We start from the raw sequence: 20,770 nt of genomic DNA on the forward strand, positions 1-20,770 counted from the left end.
GTCTAGGCAAATGAGTCTAGCAATGTGAGAAGTTAAAAAAAAATACTATACAAAGAGAATGAATGGATAGAAGCAGGGAAGATGCTATTGCAGTAACCAGATGAGAGATGAAATGGCTCAGACCAGGTGGTCACATTGACACTGGAAAGATGCAATAGATACACGTGGAAGGAACAGCGAAAATAACTTCCTACAAGAGACTGAATGCAGGTGTGAAAGGAAAGACGACTCAAGGACGACTCCAAGATATTTAAGCAGAGAAACCAGAAGGATGGAGTTTTCATCACCTGAGATGGGGAAGACCACAAGTGGAGCAGGCTTGGGTGAGGCTGAGATGAAGAGCTCAGTCTTGGATGTGAGATGTCATCCTGAAATCATGAGATGTCAATTTGGTAGTTAGATATGCAAGTCTGGAATTCAGGAGATGAGTCCAAGTTGGTGATATAAATCCGAGTGTCACTGGCATATTAAAAGCCATGAGACTGAATGCCATCACCAAAGAAAGGAGGGCAGATAGAGAAAGAATGAAGACCAAGAGCTTTGCAGCCACTGGGGACTTCAACATTAAAGGGTCAGGAGGCAGAAAAACCTGTAAATCTTCCCTTCCTATGTAGCAGTGACCAACAAGGCAGAAGGAAAACCAAGAGAATGCTGAGTCCTGGAAACCAAGAGAACCTCTACCAGGCAGTAGGAGAAATTAACTCTGTCAAATACTCCAAATGAGTCTAGTAACGTGAGAAGAAAAAGATGGAATCAACGGTGACCCTGACAAGGGCAGGTTCAACGGAGTTTTGAGGTTGGGGGAGCCTGAATGGGACAGGATTATTAGAGAATGAAAGGAGCAAATGGAAACAAACACAGGCAACCCTTCAAGGAGTTTTGCTGCAAAGAGGAGCAGAGAAACAGGACAGTGGCTGGTAAAAAAGTGGGGTAAGACAGGATTTTTAAAAAAATACTTTAAGTTCTGGGATACATGTGCAGAACGTGCAGGTTTTTTACATAGGTATACATGTGCCATGGTGGTTTGCTGCACCCATCAACCCGTCATCTAGGTTTTCAGCCCCGCGTGCATTAGCTATTTGTCCGAATGCTCTCCCTGCCCTTGTCCCCCACCCCCTGACAGGCCCCGGTGTGTGATGTTTGCCTCTCTGTGTCCATGTGTTCTCATTGTTCAACTCCCACTTATGAGTGAGAACATGCGGTGTTTGGTTTTCTGTTCCTGTGTTAGTTTGCTGAGAATGATGGTTTTAAGACAGGATTTTTAAGGATGAGAGCTATAAGTGTGTGTTCTCATGGTAACTGATGACAATTAGTTTAGTTTGAGAAGCATGAATGATTTCCTCTTTACTTGTCATATAGCTAGCTACCTCTCATTTTATATCTCAGTTTGTGTGTATCTTCCCCAGAAAAGCCTTTGCCAACCACCAGTTCGAACATCAGTGCCCTTCCCTCTCAGGTCTCTCTATCTCAGGCCTTTATGTGCTTCCTTCATGGCACCTATTACAGTTTTCTCTCCTCTCCCAGAAAGTAAGTTCCATAAGGGCAGAGACAATGGCTGTTTTATTTATCACTCCATACCCAGTGCCCAGTACAGATCCTAGCACGGAACAGGTGCTTTGGTTCATATTTGTTGAATGAATGAAATGTTGAAATAATGCACAGAAGGGCAACTTCTTATTTCAGATGCTGACCTGATCGACTAGATAAATGAAAATAAACCCTCAGTGTTTTGAAGGAAAGGGTAATGGCAAGATATGAAATCAGAGAATATAAGTAAGGAGAATAGGACAAGTCCAGAAACATCTGAGTAGAATAGGTGGAGAACTGCAGGCAAATAGCTGGAACTGCAACGGCAGGAACCATGAAACTACTGCCCAAAGACTAAGAAAACATTTTTAAGGAAGAACAGCCTGACTCTTTTGAAGAATGTCATGCAGGATGACTTAATCTATGGGAGTTTATAGCAATGATTACTGCAATTTTAGTGCTTGTTACCCACTGCTTTCTTCCGCTTCCTGCCTAGCTCTTACAGTTTGTTTTTATTATGCATATTATGCATTTTTACCCAGCTTCCCCAATGATTCCGACCCACAGCCCTGTTTGGGGATTATGCTCTCCTTGCAAAGGTCCCAAACAGCTCAGTTTTTCTAGGTCAGTATTTTGGGTTTCTTCCTCCTTCCTCACTGTGAGCTGTGAGTTCATGTAGTCCCTTTCCTTATTTTAATTGACTCTAAATTATAAAACCAGATCACCAATCCTGCTAACTGATGACTTTTGGTAGGCTTATATGGCTCTGAATTAAAAGTGACGTTGCCTCATTCTCAGCAAACTAACACAGGAACAGAAAACCAAACACCACATATTCTCACTCGTAAGTGGGAGTTGAACAATGAGAACATATAGACACAGGGAGGAGAACATCACACACCGGGGCCTGTCAGGGTTTGGGGGGCAAGGGGAGGGAGAGCATCAGAACAAATACCTAATGAATGTGGGGCTTAAAACCTAGATGACGAGTTGATAGGTGCAGCAAACCACCACGGCACATGTATACCTGTGTAACAAACCTGCACGTTCTGCACATGTATCCCAGAACTAAAGTAAAAAAAAAAAAAAAAAAAAAAAAAAAATGTTATGTTACCTATGAACTAACAGTCTAAATTTTAGTGTCTGGATTTGACAACATCTACTTTGGCTAGCCTAATTTTATTTATTTTTAATTTTTCTTCTTTCTGGGAGCTGGGCCACATTCCAAGTAATAATAATAATAATAGGAGCAACTAATATTTAAAGAACTCTTTCAATGACTAAATTGATTTAATCTTTACAACCTCCCTGTGTATAGATTATACCCATTTAACAGATAGGAAACGGACGCACTGGAAGGTTTCATAGCCATCCTAAGATCATAGCACTAATAAGTAGTAGGGACCAGGTTTAATTCCCAAGGCTGACTCGAGTCCAGGGATTCCCCAACCAGCTGAAGGATCTATGGATAAGGGAATGGTGCTATTTCTAGGTCATCCCTAAGCACAACATTTAAAAACCCATTGTAACTTGCCAGAAAGGTGATTAAAATAATGAAAACATAAGCTTTTAAAAAGTGCGGTCATCCTCATCATCCTTCCTAGACTTCCAATGGATTTCCAATTAATTTTTTGTCACCAAGTAGATTTTAAAATAACAGACAAATCTATAGATACATTTATTTTTGTTTTGACATGAAGGGTTAATGCAAGCTAGTCCAACTTTCAATAATTTCTTTTTAACAGAAAATAATTAATATTTCAAAAATGCCTCATTTACCAGAATATACTATCTTGGATTTTTAGTTAAGTATTAAATGTTCCTTCTAAGTGTGTGCCCCTTGGGTAACATAGTGTTGTTAGGAAAACCATTATAACTCCATTCCCTGACTTGTGGGTCCTGAAATTTACTGTTGTAATTTTGCATGACTATAGTTTTTTTCATATGTGATCACACTATTTAAGACATTACTATAAAAACCAGTCACTGGGGGACCAATGACAACAAGACAGGCAACCAGTTTTTCCACTGCCCCCAAGAGCTGGCATTAAACTGTGAAACTCAGCAATTGCTTATGGCAGCATTAGTAATAGCATCTGAAATTTTCAAGCCAACCGTGTAGTCAGTGCTACTCAGCCCCTGAACATCATAAACTGTTATGTGCAAATTTTGAGGTAGGAAAAGATACAAATGAGAAGCCCCCACTCCTTAGGCCCATCTCCATCATGTTTTCTTTTTTCTGGGTGGGGGGGAGATTAAGTTTTGCTCTTGTTGTGCAGGCTGGAGTGCAGTGGCACAATCTCAGCTCACTGCAGCCTCCGCCTCCTGGGTTCAAGCAATTCTCTAGCCTCAGCCTCCTGAGTAGCTGGAACTACAGGCATGCACCACCACACCCGGCTAATTTTTGTATTTTTAGTAGAGATAGGATTTCACCATGTTGGTCAGGCTGGTCTTGAACTCCTGACCTCAGGTGATCTGCCCGCCTCAGCCTCCCAAAGTGCTGGGATTACGGGCTTGACCCACCATGCCCAGCCTCCATCATGTTTTAACTAACCTTAACTTCTCCTCCTCTTTCTCCCTACCCAGTAACCACAGCTCCAACCCCACAACGTTTTGCTGTATGGAACAGTGGTAGGAGGAGGTGAGAAAGGGGAAAGGAGATTAAAGGAAAAATTAACATTCAAGTGAGTGTACATCAGATACAAGTGAGCAATAAGAATCCAAGGTGTCCGGGAAAGAGGCAGAAATCACCCTACTTCATCTTCCCTCCTCTCCCCATGCCCACACCCAGTCAAGCCAGGCCCTGTGCTACAGATGGGCCTCAAGCTTTCCCACAAAAATAGGGCAAGACGTGAGTACACCAAAGCATGCTACTGTGCCCAAACAAACCTTAAATACAAACCATTTCTTATTTCTTATTGTAACTTATTATTTCTCATTATCTCTTATTATTAATATGTTAATTTATTATTAATAAGAGTTACTTATTGTAACTCTCTTATTTCTCATTGTAACTGCTGAACTACAATTTGTTGTCAGGATCTTTTTGCTTTAACTTTGGGTTGTCAGCAAAGGAAGCGTACAACTTGAAAATGTGCAAGTGACAATGTTCTCTTTGAAAGCATGCAGTGGGCACTGTCACGTCCCCGGTGTGCCTTCCGACAGTGTGTGTGCATGCTCAGTGGCTTACCGATCAAGTAATGCCAGCAAGGTCAGTCGATCATACCAGACTTTAATCCACTTGCCAGGGAAAATGATAAATTTGTAAAACTGCTCTCGGTTAAATTTTCCTTGTGTTGAAGAACATGACGAGGCTTCCAGATCCTGACTCACATGCTTTTAGATACCAAAAGAAACAACAGAAAAAAGGGCTTTATGTTGTCATGGCATGGCCACAAATATATATATATATGTATACACACACACACATATATATGTACACCATAATTTAAAAATACAAAAAGCAAATGTTCAAATTCTGATATGTAAACCAACATATTTCATTCAAACTAAATACTCTAAGAAAAGGATAATGATCAACAAAAAGCGCTTTTCTTACCAACATACTTCAATTTCTTTACAACGTACCATTAAAATTCTGCTACTCATCACGTCAAAATGCTACTGCTCATTAAGGCCAAGAAACTGCTATAAAAATAGTTCTTATGAAAAGTAGGAATTCAATAAAAGATCTTAAATGACTTCATTTCTGAAAAGTGTGTTAATGTTGAGATACATATTCAAATTTTACTAAGAGTAAAAAGATTTTCATTGGCAATATCTAGGTTATTGGTGAAGCCTGCTATAAGAAAAACTGAAATATTTATTGAAAAAATCTAAATCATTAAAACTAAAATGTGGAGAAATTTAGACCCAGATAGTAAAAGTTTTAACCCCTAATTCATCTCTTATTAGCTCTAATTCAGTGGAAAAGAATTCAATTTTGAAAAAAAAAAATTAGTCTTCATTGATTTGTCTATCAAATACTTAATGAGGGATTCTTAGGAGCCTGGAACAAGGTTGGGAACACGCAGTTTTCCATGTAGTCCCCCTAGTGAAGATGTTGGTAATAGAATGTGTTTAGTTAATCCTAACAGTGAGGTCCCAGATGAAGTGGAGAGCCTCCTATTGGACATCCCACCTGTGTTTTGTTTCCCGTTCTCCGTGTACAGAAGCTGTTAAAACCAAAGCTCCCATGCAGCTCCTCCTTCATTGTTTGACCGTTTGCTTGTCACTTCTTGCTACTATCTTAAGCCTTCTCTAGATACCCCAGCCCCCTGCAGAGCTTCTATTTCTAACCTCTATATATCTTTAATTGTGGGTGAAAAACAAATATCATAAAATTTACCATCATAACCATTTTAAGTGTAAAATTCAATAGTGTTAACCATATTCACACTGTTGTGCAACAGATCTCTGGAACCTTTCATCCTGCAAAACTGAAACCCCAACTCCCCATTTACCCTCCCCCCAGCCTCTGGTAACCACTTTTAGGTACCTCATGTAAGTGAGATCACACAGTAGTTGAACCTTTTTGTGACTGGCTTATTCCACTCGGCATAGTGTCCTCAAGCTTCATCCATGTTGTAGCATGTGTCAGAATTTCCCTTCTTTTTAAGGCTGAATAATACTCCTTGTATGTCTGTATCACGTTTTGTTAATCCACTAATCTGTCAATGGATATTGAAGTTGCTTCCACCCTTTGGCTTTTGTGAATAATGCTGCTAGGAGCACAGGTGTGCAAATATCTCTTCGAGCTCCTGCTTTCAATTCTTTTGGATATACACTCAGAAATAGAATTGCTGGATTATTCTAATCCGTATTTTTGTTTGGTTTTGCCTTGCACTTTTCCAACATGGATTTAAGGTTATGATTTCCTCTAGGCTGACAAATATAAGACACAGGAGATTAAAAAGAAGGGCAAAGACAAGAAAGGGATGAGTATGGGACAAAGAGCAGCGGTGGAGGTGACATTGGCTTTTAAAGGACTTCTACATTTGTCTTTGGCTTACAAAGCACAAGGTTATACATGGGCAGACAGCACAACTTTTTTCCTAACTTAGGAGAAGTCACTGATGTCAAAGTGCCTGGCATGCATTCATTAGAGGCCACAGCAGAACTCTCCAAGAAAGCAAATTTTACCATCTCTCCATTTCCAGATGCTAATCTGCTTACTCAGCCTATGGAAAATGGAGTTATTCCGGATATCAAATATTAATGCAAAAGGCATCTGAAGGGAAAGTTGATCTATCATGAAGGCAATATACAGGATGAGTTGGACTGAATGATAACAGTAAAGTTGAGATTGTAAGTGCTACTTGTGCCTGGAATTCTATTTCAACACAGAAGAGAGCTTTGCGGAAACTGCCTGGTGTCATCTCAGCAGGAACAGCTTCTTTGCATGATGATGAACTTGTGGTTTATAGTAAACCTCCCCCGACAAAGGAGTCCTTTTCCTTGAAGCCACATGGACAAACAGTGTAAATAAGAATCAGGTGCACAGGAGCCCATGGTTTACTGTCCTTGTTATGTAAGAATCCATGTATGAGGCATAAACAGGTCAAGGGTAAGCAAGAGCTGAGAGCATTCCTTCCAATAGGAGAAAAATGCCTTCTTAAAGCGGGGTTTCATATGATACCCTTAGCTGTTAGGAAAAGTCAGTATCTAAAAAATTACATGAAGACTATGCCTGCATCTTTTTAAAAACTTATTAAAGATTCCAGCATACTGTGCTGTTTATTGCTGCTTAAATGAAAATCCTTGCTTAAAAAAAAAACCTCCTCAAAAATTAATGAAAAAAAGAAATGATTTCACTTCTTTTATGGGAAAAAAAGGTTCATAGAATTTTATTTTTTTGCCTTAGATATCAAAGAAGCCCAGAGTTACATGTTTTGGTGAGTAACAACAATTATTCTTGGCCTATTTTCTGGTACCAAATTCAAATTCAAATATTTCTCATCATTTTAATATCATTCATGTTTTCACTCATTGAACAAAATACTTATTGTGTAGGTTATATAAACCAAATGCTATATGTAATATATGTTGAAAACTGAAAACATAACAAGAGAGAGTTTCTACCTTACAGGGGTTTAGAAATTTCTGGGAATAGGCAAGCAAACCAGTCATGATAACATCATCACACATGCATAAATGTATCCACATCTGTATCTATGTATGGAGAGAGAAGTGAGTCACGAGAGAGTGTAGGACTGACATCCTGGGAGAAGGCATGGAGTAAAGGGGTCTTGGGCATTCCCTGGAGTGCATCAACAATTAAGGGGCTTGCGTAAGTGAGGACCCTCAGTGGAGTCTGAGAAGGAGTTTCATATTCATCACTTTTATCTTTCACTGTAAGTGATCTAAATAATGAAAAAAAATGAATGCATGGACAAACTGACAAAAAAAAAGATGTTTATGTCTCTGATTCATTAAGCCTTGCCAAAGAATAGGGGAAGTCACTGATGTCAAAGTGCCTGGCATGCATGAGGGCAGTGCAGCTGCTTCATTAAATGCCACTGCAGAACTCTCCAAGAAAGCAAATTTTACCATCTCTCCATTGCCCAGTAAGTTGGGCCTGCAAGTTTAATTCTATTATTCTGAGAAAGAGCTTAGGAAAAGCGAGGACAAAGGAAAGGATAAAAGTTGAACTTAGGTTCTTTTTAAAAAACAAGATAATTGCATTTACACACACTCCCCATATGGATTAGTGTTTATATCATAATATCCAGTGTTCATTTAATGAATTTGAATTATCAAGAACAACTTACATTATTATCAGTATATTCTTCTTAAGAAGGCAGGGAAGGATAGGGTACCTTTTAGAAATATTTTTGGTGGAATTTTTGAAATCTAAGAATAAAAGACTATGTCTTCTGAGATACCTGAGAAATTCTACTGTTCAAATAATGCTACTTTCAAGAGTTCCAGATAACAAATAAGATTTTTTGATGATATTAGTAATTGCCACCAACTAGTAAAGTCATAATTTTGCCATATATTATCTCTAATCCTTAAAAGATCACAATAGCTCAGTTTTCTAAAAGAAACTGAGGCTCTGAGAGATTAGGCCACTGGCCCAAGGTCCTAGATTAGGAAGAGATTTGCTGGAAGCCAAAGTCTGGGCTCTTTCTACAATCATGCTTAAGGGGGCCCAGGTGAATCAACACATCAAGCAGTGCTCATCAGTAAAGAGAAAGCTACCTTCACAGCAAAACAAATAGAGTTCAAGAGATAATACATATAGTCTCATTGTGAGAGAACAAGTTAACAACACAAATTTGAAAAGCAAACTAGATAATGGAAACTGGCAAAAATAAGATGAGGAATAATGAGTTACAAATAAAAAGTTATTTAAAACAAACAAAGTCAGATTTGTGATTTTGAGAATGAACCATATCTAATAAAAACGAAAACAGATAATAGGCCCTGTTATGTGAAAGAGAGTAAGTGATCAGCTCTATAGAACCTCCCCAAAGTCAGAACAGGCACAGATGGTTTTAAATTATTGGCCTGTTTTCTTGGGGGGTGGATATTGAAAATAATTAGAGGTTCTCAGCTTCTCAGAACGTATCTGTAGATTTTACCTGAAAGGGCAGGGGATAGGGAGAAGGAGTAGAAGAGTGAACAGTAGACAGAAGAAAAAGTGGTCCTTTGGGGAACTACGTGTAACTCCTAACAGCTATCAAACTCAGCACTGGGAAGGCAGGGTTGGTAGGGACTCTGGTGTTAGAAATAGAATTTTGAGAAATCACAGAGTGGCTGCCAAGGAGGATGTGAGCATTGGAGACCCTAATAGTGACAAAAGGACAACTAGGAAGGAACACTGGGTCAGGGTCCCTTCAACACCCCAAGTTCCAGTACTCTCTGCACTGCAGTTTCCTTAGATATTCAACCCCCAGATGAAATAATGCCTAACCTGAAGACTTCTCTTAAAGATAAAATGACATCAAATATGAGAGTACCTAGCCCAGTGCCATGCACATAACTTGTGTTCAAAACATACAAGTGGAATGTGAATTATAACTGGATGTGAGCAAAACTTTGAGGGATAAAACATATTTTTTTAAAAGTAGAATTATCCTATTATAACAGTGGCTATGTTTAGCAGCCAAAATTAATAACAAATCATGTAGATTCTAAACCTATTACAGATAGTCTCTGACTTACAATGGTTCAACTTATGATTTTTTAACTTTACAATACTATGAAAGTGATAAGCATTCAGTAGAACATCAATAAATGATATGAGATATTCAATACTTTATTACAAAATAGGCTTTGTATTTGATGATTTTGCCCAGCTGTTGGCTAATGTAAGTGTTCTGAGCATGTTTAAGGCAGGCCAGGGTAAGCTATGATATTCAGTAGGTTAGATGTATTAAATGCATTTTCAACTTACGATATTTTCAACTTATGATGGATTTATAGGGACATAAACCCATTCTAAGTTGAGGAACATCCATATTTAAATGAACTTCTGAACATGATAAGTGAAAAAGATGCAAATGTTACTTTTTCTTTTTAAAGTATTAATATACTTTCAAATAAATGAATATGTATGATGAAAAATAAATGTTACGATATTATAATTGATGTCTCCTCTTTTTCATCTCCATAATTATTTCAATTGTTTCATCTTTTAGTAAATGCCAATATTCTTATGAGTTCTTGTTAATGTTTTAATGATAGTAAATTGTGATGTAAATGCTACCTTTATATCTACCTAGAATAACAGTCAGCCAGGCCTAGCACTGTGCTTATCTTTGCAATTCTCACCAATTCTCATCAGTTTAGGACCAATGCAATGCTTGACCGTCATGCTATCCATAATGATAATAATAATAATAATGCCACTATCATAGACTTGCATAGAGCTTTAGAGTTTACAAAACACTTTCACATACAATACTATCTCATTTTTTAATGTAAGACAAGCTGAATGAGTTGGAGACCATATCCAGGTGAGAGTAAATGGAAGCGGAAAATGCTGTATTCCTACAGATCCTATGCTGCCCTTGGGTAGACTGCACCTGCCTCTCAACCAGCAGTGTAATAAGCAAAATGTTTCAAGGTGATTGCCCAGGTACTGGCCCATAACATATTGGGACAATGTAAGATTTTAAAAACCATGGTAATGAGTCTACAGAATATACTCTGTGGGGTTAGAAGCACATGATGGATAAACTTAGTGACAGAGAAGTACCAGTTTATAACATGGATTCATGCAACATTTTTAATTGGTAATATTCAAAACCCCTGAATGCCAATCTTGAGTTCAAACAACAGGTTTTCACCAATTCCAACCATGCCCCAAGCTCTGCCCTTCCCTTTGTGCTTGAGAGCTAAACTCTACAGCTATGACAATGAAAAATAACCTCCTCTTCTCCTGTGTGTGTGTGTGTGTGTGTGTGTGTGTGTGTGTGTGTGTGTGTATTTTAAGTGACCAGCCCTTTATAAAAGTGACAGCCCTTTCTGGGAGCTCCCCTTTCAGGGACACTTCATTCCCTACACACACACTGTATTTGTACCAGGGAGGAATTTCAGACAAGTCTTCCTCTGGCCTTGGCTCACCTCCTGACCACCCGCCCATTAGAGCCTGCAGAATTCCATCCTTTACTAGAAAGAGCTTGCAGAACATTGCGGGGGAAGCACTCCCAGAGCTCGTGTGCTGCACTTGAAGGAGAGAGGCAGGGAGGATGGGGGAAGGAGGGGATTAAAGTCTTGTCTTCCGAGCCTTATCTCCTGCTTGCTTTTGCTAGTCTCTTCTGAGAAATAGCTCCCCTGTGCCTCCAGGCTCCAGTAACACTGAGCACACCTGCTTTCAGCCTCACCTCCAGGCCCCTTTGGCCAGGTCGTTTCTCTGTCTAGATAGTCTTATCTCCTTTTATTTGGTTAACTCCAACTCATCCTCCACATTTCAGCTGAGGTGTCACCTTGCTGAGGAAGCCTCTCTGATCCCCTATTTCCTGGCCTGGAGCTTTTCCTGTGTCCCACACCACCAGAGCCTATTCTAATCAGAATTTCTGTTGTATAGAGTTGAATTGGTTGACTGGCTGTTAAACTTCTTGTAGGCAGGGACTGAGTCTTTTCACCATTGTATACCCAGCTTCTAGCACAAAACTGCAGGCATAGCCAGCCTACAGCAAATATTTGTTGGATAATGACAAGAAAACCTATTTAATTTTTATTTTGTGGCTGAAACGTAATTTAATTTCCTGGTGATATCAATTATATTTAGAAATCAAATAGTAGAACTACATTATTTTCCCAGTATGAGACTTTGTAAATATTTTCTTAGGGTCTAAACATGAGCCTGGTTAGCAATCTTCGTTTTTCCTCCTCCATACCCATATATATTAGAATATAGAACTTTAAAATTTTTTACTTAAAGTTTAAATGGTTGAAGCAATGAATTTGGTTAAGTGTCTAACAATAAAACGCTACAGATGAGTTGAGTTTTTATGCATCATCGTGACATTTATAGGATTACAAATGTAAAATAAGGAATGGCAGGACTATTTCTGATTTATTCTTGCAGTATTTACTTATTTTCAAGTTTCTGCTCTAACGGGGATATTTTTGAGATATTAAATCAATGGATGTATACATTTGATAATCTAAAGTTTCTAGTTTCCTCTAGCTCTTCTACTCATGAAATCAATGGCATTCACATCTTCCCAAGCTATCCTGATACTTTCATGGAACCTTCTTGAAGGTTCAACACTAATGTTCTGGAGGGTGGTAGGGAGTTAGCACTTCCGGGCTTATCTCAGGGGAAAATGCAAGTCCCTCAGGAAAGCCCGTATTCCACAGGGCCCCCACATACTAGGGCTGTGGTGAGAACTACATACTGGCAGCTGGGGGTGGGGCTGGGCAGAGCTCACAGACCTTGTACGGGCTGACAGTGTGTGCAGAACACAGCTAGGGCAAATGGCAGGGTCTCCGGTGGTCAGTGAGTGGCAGATCCAGCACCTCACCCAAACCAGGCAGGTACAACACACAGTACACCCGGTGACTGGACTAAGGGGATGCTCCCCTCCTCAGAAGTGCCCCTCTCAGGTCCACTTCCACCCACAGGTTTAGGAATCCTATCCCTAACACACAGAGGCCCTGGAAAGGAGGAGGAGGAGAGCCTGAATACATGAAAGGGAAGAGAATAAACAGTCCCAAAAGACTGATTCTTTGAATAAATTAAACACTTGTTCACACACAAACTCCAAGACTGAAAGGGCTGAGTTACCCTAATTAGCACTTTTTTTGTTTGTTTTGAGAGAGGATCTCACTCTGCCCCAGGCTAGAGTGCAGTGGTACAGTCATAGCTCACTGCAGCCTTGAACTCCTGGGCTCAAACCGTCTCCCCACTTCAGCTTCCCAAAGTGTTGGGATTACAGGTGTAAGCCACTGTATCTGGCAACTGGCACTTTTAAGTTAAGTCATCCCTACACTCCCCACATCAACAGGTATAAGAGCTCAGAGCAATATGTGGTCAGCTAAAAGGTAACTCAACATTTTCTTTGCACAGCTGGGTAATGGTGTATAAATTTCAACCCAATGTATTTTGTGTTTGTTTGTTTGTTTGTTTGAGACAGAGTCTCGCTCTGTTGCCCAGGTTGGAGTGCAGTGGCACGACCTTGGCTGATTGCAACCTCCGCCTCCTGAGTTCAAGCAATTCTCGTGCCTCAGCCTCCCAAGTAGCTGGGACTACAGGCACGTGCCACCATGCCAGGCTAATGTTTCTATTTTTAGTAGAGATGGGGTCTTGCCATGTTGTCCAGGCTGGTCTTGAACCCCTGACCTCAGGTGATCCATCCACCTTGGCCTCCCAAAGTGCTGGGATTACAGGCGTGAGCCACTGCAGCCAGCCACGTTGTATTGTTGAGCATCCTTTGGAAAAATGTGGCAAAGCAATCATAAAAAAAAATATATATATATATATATATATATATATAATTATATTATTTTTTCAAAGATGAGCTTTTCTAGAATGAACTGAAACATTTCCAGGAAAAAGGTAAACAGAAATAAAGAAACTTGACACTCACATGACATCATACCATCTACAATCCTCTTCTCTCCATCTGTACCAATGGAAACCAATCTTTCTTCAGGGCCTAACCGAAGTATTTCTTCTTCTAAGAAGCCTTCCCCATTACCCCTCCTCCAAAATGCCCAAAATTGAATCTGCAGCTCTAACTTCATGTCTGCGTGTTTCACTAACCTCCCATGTTATCTCTGGCTTTGAATCCTTGGCTCTGCCTCCCAAGAGTCTCATTAAAGGTCGACTGGATAAATGAATGAACATTAATAAGTTATCTCTTAGTAAAATAATGAAAGGCTTCACATTTTTAGACCTCTTGATGATAATGTTACTTGCCCCAAGAATAAAGTCTCCCTTTATGTCAAACATTTAAGAATCTTTGAATATTTAATATACAAGGCAATAATACATTAAAAAAAAAAAGATACTTTCCAAACCATGGGAGAAAAAGGCAACCTAATCCAGTGAGCTCTTGTGAGACTTATGCATCCTGGCAACCAAAAATCAATGTGCATGAATTTCTAATGCATTTGAAAAGCAACAGAGACAGTGGCAATCCTGTTAATATCAACCCAAGGTTAGCTGCTATCTATCTGATTTCCTTTCACATTCAGTCAGTAGACTGCCTTGCAGTGATATATCAACAACCCGTGATGCAAAATTCAGGGAAAGAGCTGACTAATCCTGTCAAGTAATCCAACCTGGAAAAAGGTTTTAAGATCCCCTGTTTCCAGAACATCCACAAACAGCAATTCTGGAATGTACGTACCCGTGGGGTTTCCGACTGGGTCCTGCGAGCCACCATCAGTAACAGCTGTTGCTGAAGGGCACTGACGGCAGGGTCCCCAGAAGACGGATCTTGACTCTCAGAAGTTGTGGTACTGGAGGAGCTGACCTGCATCTCTCTGAGGATGGGCAAAACAAAAGCTTTGGTTACCTGGTAATACCAGAAGTCATCTATTTATTATACACAAACACAAGGACAATAGGAATGCCCAAAGCAGGTAGTGGATGAGACTTTACAACCTTACATAAACAGTTAAGAGTTTAAAATTATGTATACAAGGCTACCTTCAGGTAGAAGGTCAATTACCCTGCATACATTGAAATTACTCAGGCTACCCAGGGTTGCAGTGTGTCATAGGGCAGGTAGGTAGATGCCTGGTGTTCTACAGATGACAACCTTAATTTTTTTAAATATTTAATGCCTGGGGAGGCCTTAGCAACAAGTTCTAGCCTCATATTTTGTAAAAACAAATAGTGGGCTTGATAATTCTCCAGACACCAACCAGGAAGAAACAGAGATGAACACCTCTGCTACCTAGCTGCATCTCCTCTCCACCACACCCCAAAGCAAGGTAAGTACTTATTAGACAAAAGAAATGTCTTGGGTAATTGATCAAGAGGACATGATGGAATTAGTTGTGATCTATATCTAAAATAGTTTTATCTTTAACCACACACAGATTGACAAGACTTAAATTAATAGTAAGCAATCTCATTTTTACAAAGGAAAAAATCCTGGCATTTTTTTCCTTTGCCTCAGAAAGCAAAAACTAGGACATACTTCTCTATCTGATTTTCTAGTAGGGTATCTATAACTTTTAGGAGACAATGTTGGCTGCCTACTCAACAGGCATTTCTCACAGAATGTCTCCTAACATAACTCCATTTTATTAAGTCATCCAAGACTGTTGCTTTGGAAGAGACATGAGGTCCTTCCCTAGCCCCAGGGAAAAATCCTGGTCTTTAAGCCATTCACCCTGGCCAGAGCTTGGCTTTGGAATGAGAAAGAAACACAACTCTAAGAGGTCACTGGGGAGCAAAGAAGAGTTGGCTGGGATTAAGAGAGCTCTCGGACAAATTTTTCTATAGTTCTTAAGTAGTAACAAAAGTAAAAGACAGTCTTTCTCCAGGCCTTTACATGATTCGTGAATAATAAATACTGCTATCGTGATGGACAAACTTGAGTACTGGAGAGCTGAGTGATGGAAGGGAACTAGTTTTTTGATGACAGCATTAAACCTCCGAATTCACCAACCTTGAACAGATCATACCTTTGGGCCTCTTGTGTTCTGGCATAATACATCTCATCGTGCAGCCCATTTTATTACAGAAGGTTACTTGTAGCCCAAATCACACTGTCTAACACAGGCTCCTTAAGAATGCAGATGCTACAGTAACAAAATTCCCTTCTGATTTATAATCTACACCTTTCATGATAAAGTTTCTGACAATCTTTTGGATGTTTCTTTTTCCTAACTCCTTCCTATCATATTCATAAACACACCAATAGTTATTCTGTGAGAATGGTGTTTAAAATACTGTCATACAGCTGGGCGCAGTAGCTGATGCCTGTAATCCCAACACTTTGAGAGGGGGAGGCAGGAGGACTGCTTGAGCCCAGGAGTTCAAGACCAGCCCTGGCAACACAGTGAGACCTAAGCGCTACAAAAATAGAAAAAAAATTAGCTGGGCATGGTGGCACATGCCTGTAGTCCCAGCTACTTGGGAGGCTGAGGTGGGAGGACCACTTGAGCCTGGGAGGTCTAGGCTGCAGTAAGCCATCATCATGCCACTGCACTACAGCCTATGTGAACAGAGTAAGATCCTGTCTCAAAAAAAAAAAAAAAGCAACTTTCATACACACATGTAAATAAACATAAACTTCAATACATTCAATAAAGTCTTCATATAAAGAACCGCTTAGGAAACATAACATGATGAAGTCAGGGTTTAGGACGTGAACCAGGTAGAGTAAGTACGTAGAGTTTGAAAACTTAAAAATCCTGTGCTTCCATTATTTAATGTTTGCTCCTAAAATAATGCTTTTCCTTCTTGTCTATATTAGTGGCATAATCTCTGTCGTTAACAGAGAAAAAGATTAGTTAGATTTATAAAAACAATGTTCATTCAAACTCTTCTGCGTTGTACGGAAGCCACTGAGTAATGTAACTCTGTCATTTCACATCGAAATACAACAGAACTGAAATTGCAATGTTGACACAAATTCAGAGATATCTTAAACGGAGCACATGCCAGAACTTCACTACAAACAAAAGATTAAGCTAACTACATTGTAGGTAAGGTAGGTAATGATCATAAATAGGCAAGAGTGGGAAAAGAAATGTACGCTTCTGTGCAAAAAAGTAGAAGGTGTACAGCACCCTCTATCGCCAACTGAAATAAACTAAGAATTGACTACGACATAATGTGTAACGAATGGCTGTTTTAGAGCAGTCTTCCTCCTACTAAGGTGTCCTGCTAGGAAACATGATACAAAGGAAGTGTCAATCAATACATATCAGCTTAATTTTTCCATATTTCTTAGTACATTTCAGATTGTAAAATAATAATAATAATAAACATCATTTTCCTATATAAGCCATTTAAATATCCTTTAAAAAATCTATGGGTTGATTTTCTATTTAAGATCTTTTGGGTCAGTTCTAGAATTAAACAGAACTAGGTTAAAGTATACTACTCACTATCTGTGACTATAAGCATGTTGTCTTCCTACCTTAAATCCTCCCTATTAAATCAGGAAGATATTTTCCTCGTAGGTATCATTGTGAAAACTAAACCAGACTATGTATGTAAAGCAGTGAACACTGCCTTTCATATATTATGTACTTCATAACCATCCCTGGCCCTTTTTACTTCCTTTTGTTGATATAGGATTGACTTTGCTTTTTCTTATATTAAATAGCAACATAACTCCTATGCTTTTATGCAAATGGTATATTAATTTCAGGTGTCTCTGTTAGCAGGCATGGGGGAAGAGTATCTTGCCCTCAAATCACACCTAATCCTCCTTATTTTATAAAGACAGTCTCAAACAGCATATTAACTTCCCTCTTAATTAACCTCTTTTATGAGGGTTGAGTATTCCAGACAAGGCATGGGCATATAAGAAAGATTCTCTTCTGAGCTTAATGACTGGTATATGTCTGCATCAGAAACCTGTATTGTCATCTGTATTGTCATGTGTATATGGGCTCTCCATTTGGCCAGGAGGAAATGGTTACATGCTTACAGTAAGCATTGCTCAAATGGAGACGTTTCCCTTATGTGATATAATTCTCTGGTGTCCTGATAGTGTAGTTATAATCCAGCTTGCCCACCCAAGTACCAAAGAGACGATGATGTCCACAAAAATCACTGAAACGGACAGGTGGACAGGAGCGCAATCTTTGAATAATTCCAAAGTCTATGTTCTTTGCTAGCGTCTCTTCTCCAAGTATTTGCTGCTTATTCTCTCTCATTTTTTTTAAGTTATAGACTGTGAGCAGCATAATCATCTAAAAAGACAGTATCTTAGTAACTTAAAGCCAAAGCGTTTCCCACATTAATACATATAAAGTGAAAGCGTTAAGTTTCAAGAGACATTTTCTCTTCCTCCAAAACAATAATGGAAATGGAAATATCCCAAGCCTGTAGTAACTATTCTGTGAACTACAGTACACGATACTTAGCACATCTGGTCTCAATTATCCCGTTCTCTGGTGAATCTTTGGTAAACTAGTTTGGTTCAGGGCTATAGCAGAGATAAGTTTATTTAAGCTAGATTGAGCTCCAAGCAATAGCAGAAATAGTGATTAATGGTGGAAATTTCTAAAAGTGCTGCCACTAGAAGGTAATAAAGACGGGCCTGGGGCTAGGATCTAGTCTGGGCCAGAAGAGTGCACTTCTGTATGGAAGGAGTTGGGCCTCAAATTGACCATGACGATATTCCACCATACTGGACTCACCAGGTTTCCACCATCTGAGCTTCTACAAGCAACAGACAGTCAAAATACATGTGCTTCTTCTACACTGTCTCACTGATATTGGAAAAACATTTCTTGAAATTCTTCATCTTCCCCAGAGTTTAAAGACGATAGCCTATCACTCTCAGAGAGAGGGCCTCCCTTTTTCTGCCTCTTTCCTTGTTTTTCAGGCTTCCTCCAGGGACATGGGCACAAGGCGCATAGAGGGACACAGAAATGAAAGTCCCAGCAACATGTTCAACATGTAGGATGTTTAACTAAAGCAGCACTGTTCTGAAAACCATAACCTGTTATTTTGAATTTTAACAGGGATTCTTGTTCAATTCTCCTTTTATGTGACAGTAAAATTTGTGTGAGTATCGGAGAAAAAGGCAGCAACACCGTGGAAGTGAGGCAAGGCTGGGAGCATGGGACCTGACTGCCATCATGTGGCAGCAGTGGCTGTTGCCACCGGAACAGAACCACACTGAGCGGCAGGGCCAATTCTCAGGCTTTCAGAGAAAATGCCCCAGAGAACAAAAGTCTTTCTAGAATCAACCTCACAAACCTTTCGTCCTTATGCCTCTATGCCTGGGTGAAAGTACAATCTCTTTCTAATACGTCTAAGAAAACAAGATAAGAATGACAGTGAAAGGAGCAAAGAGTAAAAAGTGAAAGCCAAAAAGAAAGGACATGGAAATTTGGGAGGGCAGACACTATTCCAAGGTAGACCCAGGTGATCATCTGCTTCTTGCCAATCTTTTCCACCTCCATGTGATCAAAGGCACCAAGAACCCACACAAGTTTTTCAAATTTGAAGCAGCAAATACCTATCTCTCTACTATCCAAATTAAGTGAGTGACGCAGCTATATGCATCTCTCAAATATTTGTAATAAAAGACGAAATTTCTAAACTATAATTGAATGGCACATGGTACTGGGTATATCTAATATCGAGAGAAGTCACAATGTTTTACTCTTCATTTTGAATATCTAGTTGACTTGTTTTATTGCCTCACATTCCTGTTCAGCTATTCCAAGTCAGAGTGTCACTATTATTTCTTCTGACTAAAGTTAAAAACACAGTCTAAACAGACATGATTATTTATTGCCGTTTTCTGCCTGCTTATCTTCTTTGGGAACCAGGTAGATAATTAAACATTGTGGCTTTAGAGGACTTTCCTGAAAGTTAATCCCAATAAGTAAGAGGTTTTGTTGAGATAAGGGTCAGAGAAGCTGATAATGTCAACAAAAGAGTAAGAACTCTGAGGAGGTAGTAAAGATTAAGTACAGGGCTTCAATCCACCTTTGGAGTATGGTACACAGTGGGTTCAGAGATATACGGCAGCTTTCAAACATAAGCCTAATTTATAAACTAAAAATATCTGCTAGATCTTTGCTACGATAATTCAAAAACAAAAGCCATGAATAAGTGAATTCAGATAAATATTTATATTACCATCCTACTCTTATTTTTTAAATAAAAACAAGTTGAAGTTCCATCCTTGATATAAAAATCCCCCAAAAAAGTACTGCAAACAAATTTGCTACAGAATGACTCTTCCATTCAGTAGACTACCATGCCTATTTTGTGAGTTATAGATCCTCAAAATGAATGTAAATATCATGTCTTTCCAATCAGATTTCACTGGGGAGCAGATGATATGCATTTTGCATGCATTTCCATTAGATTGCTTATGACACCGTAAAAGCCAGATTAATACTTAAACATGGTTATAGATTGTCCATAGAAGAAAGCTCTGCTATATTACTTGGATTCATTTATACACAAAGAAATATAAATATTTGCTGAACAAAAAAGAGAAACTATCAAGCTTTAATTACAAGATCTACTGAGTAGTAATAAAACTTCACTCTGCAACAAACCCTCTGCACTCAAAAACACATTTCAACTTTCTAAGCAGCTTCACCTCCAACTTCCTAGGCAGATAGCCTACTTCCACTTTGGTTTTCTAGGCAGATTAGCAATTCCAACTTTCTGGGCAAATTAGTTCATTTTGGCTCTGAACTACTGAATCAATCTTGTGTTCTGGGTAATAAAATACTCAAGTGGATTTATCCTCTGGCAGTTTTTCCTACTAGCAATTCTAAAGGCTGCAATTCAAGCTGTAGTTTCCTCATTCTGGTTTCTGGGGAAAGCAGAACTGTGTTAGGTAATGTTACCAAAGATACCTGCTCTATGGACAGCTATTGTACAACCGGAAAATGCTGCTTATGTTTCTGCAGCAGTCCACAAGAACCGCACTGGTTCCCACAGTGACAGTGGGGCCAAGGAGAGAAATTTGTTTCCTCTCCCAGTTTCCTTCAGGAATCCCCAAAGAGACATGGAAGTTACATTACTAACAATTCCCTATTCATACTTGGGAGTCAGGGATATAAAACTGTCACACGGTAACAAGGCTCAACAATAGCTAAGAGGAATGGCTTTTTTGCC

At 39.3% G+C, this 20,770-nt stretch overlaps 1 protein-coding gene across 7 annotated transcripts in view, besides 3 other annotated features; it reads right to left on the reverse strand.

Annotated features, from left to right (window-relative positions):
- Positions 1-20,770, reverse strand: part of PCNX2 (pecanex 2) — a 343,895-nt gene that overhangs the window by 239,074 nt on the left and 84,051 nt on the right. For all 7 annotated transcript variants that reach the window (XR_001737430.2, XM_047430870.1, NM_014801.4 and 4 more), the window contains 2 exons: positions 14,337-14,472; positions 4,718-4,863 (listed from right to left, as the gene is read on the reverse strand). Coding sequence is in view for 6 of the 7 variants with exons in the window: in XM_047430870.1 (XP_047286826.1) it covers positions 4,718-4,863; positions 14,337-14,472 (282 nt within the window). In the remaining variant the exon portion in view is untranslated. The remainder of the gene's footprint in view (positions 1-4,717; positions 4,864-14,336; positions 14,473-20,770) is intronic.
- Positions 11,951-12,474: an enhancer, noted in NCBI's record as "H3K4me1 hESC enhancer chr1:233370205-233370728 (GRCh37/hg19 assembly coordinates)". NCBI's record gives its function as "activates a minimal SCP1, AML or CMV promoter by ChIP-STARR-seq in naive H9 embryonic stem cells {active_cell/tissue: H9 hESC(naive)}" and the evidence as "EXISTENCE:reporter gene assay evidence [ECO:0000049][PMID:30033119]".
- Positions 12,475-12,996: an enhancer, noted in NCBI's record as "H3K4me1 hESC enhancer chr1:233370729-233371250 (GRCh37/hg19 assembly coordinates)". NCBI's record gives its function as "activates a minimal SCP1, AML or CMV promoter by ChIP-STARR-seq in naive H9 embryonic stem cells {active_cell/tissue: H9 hESC(naive)}" and the evidence as "EXISTENCE:reporter gene assay evidence [ECO:0000049][PMID:30033119]".
- Positions 20,415-20,709: a silencer, noted in NCBI's record as "tiled region #15021; K562 Repressive non-DNase unmatched - State 22:ReprW". NCBI's record gives its function as "represses a minimal TATA promoter and a strong SV40 promoter by Sharpr-MPRA in K562 cells {active_cell/tissue: K562}" and the evidence as "EXISTENCE:reporter gene assay evidence [ECO:0000049][PMID:27701403]".

The sequence above is a fragment of the Homo sapiens genome, chromosome 1 (assembly GCF_000001405.40).
Source record: "Homo sapiens chromosome 1, GRCh38.p14 Primary Assembly".
Lineage (NCBI taxonomy): Eukaryota > Metazoa > Chordata > Mammalia > Primates > Hominidae > Homo > Homo sapiens.